Source organism: Homo sapiens, chromosome 9, assembly GCF_000001405.40.
Source record: "Homo sapiens chromosome 9, GRCh38.p14 Primary Assembly".
Taxonomy (NCBI): domain Eukaryota; kingdom Metazoa; phylum Chordata; class Mammalia; order Primates; family Hominidae; genus Homo; species Homo sapiens.
In genome coordinates, this window is record NC_000009.12 from 21,438,178 (window position 1) to 21,442,246 (window position 4,069).

The window sequence follows — 4,069 nt, forward strand, 5'->3', positions numbered from 1 at the left end:
TTCAGAGCTTTGCAGGGAGTAACCATGGGTTATGGCTTCATGAAAATGTCCTACTCACCAGTGCCTTTTTCGCAGATGTGGATGTGGAGGCATGAGGGAGGGTAATTATTGGATTACCAAGGTGCTGCTAAGAGCAGAGGAGGAAACCCCTATTCCCAGTCATATGTCTGGTGTGACATTTCACTAACCCATTTAAGTGCACAGGCCTCCAAATATCTACCTAATGAGTATGATGGTTTGGGCATTTTACACTTAAAATCACTGGCCTCATGTCAACTGAAGCCTGACTGGCCAGTGTCTCAAAGTCACAGATGATGACCTGATCCCTCAGGAACAGATGGTGTTTCAGCTTTGTGGGAGTGACTGTCAAGGTATGGAGCACTTAGGTGGTCTTTGAAACCTGTCAGGTTTCACATCTCTGCTTTGAGTGAAAAGCTCATCACCCACAGTAGTGAGGAATGTGCCTATACTTGCTGGGGCTGATCTGTTGAAACTTTATGTGTAGACAATGGAAACATCCAGGAGCATTTCTGCTTTCATGTAGCCTCTTAATAATTGATGTCCCTGAAGTCCTGTGTCCTCAGGGACAGTTCCTCTGATTCCTGGATTGTACCAGCTTTCATGATGTTAAATCTAATCTGTAAAACTCTGAGCATTAATCTCCATGAAAATAAGACCTTGTTCTTTCTCATTTAAATGCCCCTTTTTTTTCTTGTCTAATATTCTGAGTAGGATTTCCAGTACTGTGTTGAAAGAAGTAGTGAGAGTGGGCATCCTTATCTTATAATAAATCTCAGAAAAAAGATTCCAACATTTCACCACTGACTATAGTGTTAGCTAATGGCTTATCTTATAGCTAATAAGGAATGTGTCTCTTTATTCTGAGGTATATTCTTTATATACCTAATTTGTTATAAATTGTATTAGAGATGGATTTTAAATTTTGTCAAAATAATTTTAGGCATGCATAAAAATAGTTATGATTTTTAATCTTTTATTGTGTAAATAAGGAGTATGGCATTTATTGATTCCAACATATTAAAATATTCTTGCATCCCAGGAATAAATCAAGCTTGATCATAATAAATGATCCTTTTATAGTGCTTTTGAATTTCATTTGCAACTACTTTGTGGATGATTTTGCATCTGTGTTCATCAGGAATATTGGCTGTAATTTTTTTTTTTCTTGTAATGTCCATCTCTGGCTTAGGTATCAAGGTAATGCTGGCTTCATAAAATGAGTTTGGGAGTATTCCTCCTTAATTTTTTCAAAGATTTGGTTCTGTTTAAATGTTTGGTGAAATTCAGGAGTAATCAGATCTAAAAAAACGTAAGAACACTAAAAATAAATGATAAAAATATTTTAAAGTTTTAAGTGTTTATCACTTTCAAATAATTTTTAAGTATTCATTACTTAGAAAATGTTTATCTATAAACATTAGAAAATGTTTATAATTTGTTAATTTGCTTATGTAATTTGATACACTACAATTTATTTGTTTGTTTGTTTTTTGAAACAGAGTCTCACTCTGACACCCAGGCTGGAGTGCAGTGGCACAATCTCGGCTCACTGCAACCTCCACCTCATGAGTTCAAGGAATTCCCTGCCTCGGCCTCCTGAGTAGCTGGGATTACAGGTGCACACAACCATGCCTAGCTAATTTTTTTTTTGTTTTTTTTTTGTTTTTTTCGTTGAGATGGGGTTTCACCGTCTTGGCCAGGCTGGTCTTGAACTCCTGACCTCGTGATCCACCCACCTCGGACTCCCAAAGTGCTGGGATTACAGGCGTGAGCCACCTCGCCAGGCCTACAGTACAATTTATATCAGTAAATAAATTACGTTGAAGTCCATAAGCAAATTTAGTTATAAAGTTAAGAAAAATTTGAATAGATTTTAAATTTAACTTTTAGCTTAAATTTTTCATTTGGTTATTTTTAAACCTGCATTGAATACAAAGATTAAACTTTGTACTTTTTGATTATAGAGATATACATATAGTATATAAATAGATACATATTGTATCTGTGTTATTAAATTTTCACGGTGGGTTCAATTAGGAAAAAGATATCTAAAAAGTCTCTGGGAACAAGATGGGGAAGACAATAATGAAAAACAAAACATTTGAGAAACACGGCTCTAAACTCATGTAAAGAGTGCATGAAGGAAAGCAAAAACAGAAATGGAAAGTGGCCCAGAAGCATTAAGAAAGTGGAAATCAGTATGTTCCCTATTTAAGGCATTTGCAGGAAGCAAGGCCTTCAGAGAACCTAGAGCCCAAGGTTCAGAGTCACCCATCTCAGCAAGCCCAGAAGTATCTGCAATATCTACGATGGCCTCGCCCTTTGCTTTACTGATGGTCCTGGTGGTGCTCAGCTGCAAGTCAAGCTGCTCTCTGGGCTGTGATCTCCCTGAGACCCACAGCCTGGATAACAGGAGGACCTTGATGCTCCTGGCACAAATGAGCAGAATCTCTCCTTCCTCCTGTCTGATGGACAGACATGACTTTGGATTTCCCCAGGAGGAGTTTGATGGCAACCAGTTCCAGAAGGCTCCAGCCATCTCTGTCCTCCATGAGCTGATCCAGCAGATCTTCAACCTCTTTACCACAAAAGATTCATCTGCTGCTTGGGATGAGGACCTCCTAGACAAATTCTGCACCGAACTCTACCAGCAGCTGAATGACTTGGAAGCCTGTGTGATGCAGGAGGAGAGGGTGGGAGAAACTCCCCTGATGAATGCGGACTCCATCTTGGCTGTGAAGAAATACTTCCGAAGAATCACTCTCTATCTGACAGAGAAGAAATACAGCCCTTGTGCCTGGGAGGTTGTCAGAGCAGAAATCATGAGATCCCTCTCTTTATCAACAAACTTGCAAGAAAGATTAAGGAGGAAGGAATAACATCTGGTCCAACATGAAAACAATTCTTATTGACTCATACACCAGGTCACGCTTTCATGAATTCTGTCATTTCAAAGACTCTCACCCCTGCTATAACTATGACCATGCTGATAAACTGATTTATCTATTTAAATATTTATTTAACTATTCATAAGATTTAAATTATTTTTGTTCATATAACGTCATGTGCACCTTTACACTGTGGTTAGTGTAATAAAACATGTTCCTTATATTTACTCAATCCATTATTTTGTGTTGTTCATTAAACTTTTACTATAGGAACTTCCTGTATGTGTTCATTCTTTAATATGAAATTCCTAGCCTGACTGTGCAACCTGATTAGAGAATAAAGGGTATATTTTATTTGCTTATCATTATTATATGTAAGATGTAAGTAAAAATGACCTTTCTCTAAACCAGGTTGTATGTTGTACTCAAGATATAAAGCTGAATACAATAAATCTACTTCCTACTCTCTTGCATATTTGGTTTTTGTATGGAATAAAACTAAAGATGGTAATCATACTTAATATCAGTTATCCTAAATACTATGAGAAGAAGGAGCAACTAATGATTTCTCTCAGCAGCGGGTAAACTGAGACAGGTGAGGAAATAAAAATAAACAGATATCCTCAAAAGTTGACTGGTAAACATCTAGTAGAAAATGTCTATTGCCAGTTGGATATATGAGTTTGCAACTTACAAGGAATGCAGTTGCTGGGGGTTCATACATGGCAAGCAAAATCCCAGAAATGGAAGTGCTCATGTGTGGAGAGAGTGTAGACAGAGAAAAGGACTTAAGCAGGATTTTGAGGACCTTCCACCTTTAAAGTGAGGGAAGAGAAGAGACACAGAGGAACCAGAGGTGGTGTCCCTTATATTAGACTAACAACAAGAGAGATTGGTGATTAATATGGTTTGGATCTGTGTCCCTGCCCAAATCTCATGTGGAATTGCAATCCCCAGTGTTGGAGGTAGGGCCTGGTGCGGGGTGACTGGGTCATGGCTATTTCTCATGGTTTAACACCATCCCCTTTGGTGCTGTCATGGTGATAGTGAGCCCTCCTGAGATCTAGTTGTTTAAAAGTGTGTGGCACCTACCCCTACCCTTCCTCTTGCTCTCGCTTTACCTTCCTCTCTGAAGCCTCCCCAGAAGCAGATGCTGCCAT

At 38.6% G+C, this 4,069-nt stretch overlaps 1 protein-coding gene across 1 annotated transcript; it reads left to right on the forward strand.

Annotated features, from left to right (window-relative positions):
- Positions 1–2,261: 2,261 nt before the first annotated feature.
- Positions 2,262–3,139, forward strand: IFNA1 (interferon alpha 1). The gene has a single exon (NM_024013.3). The coding sequence runs from the start codon at positions 2,331–2,333 to the stop codon at positions 2,898–2,900; it is 570 nt and encodes a 189-aa protein (NP_076918.1). The 5' UTR covers positions 2,262–2,330; the 3' UTR covers positions 2,901–3,139.
- The last annotated feature ends 930 nt before the right edge of the window (positions 3,140–4,069 follow it).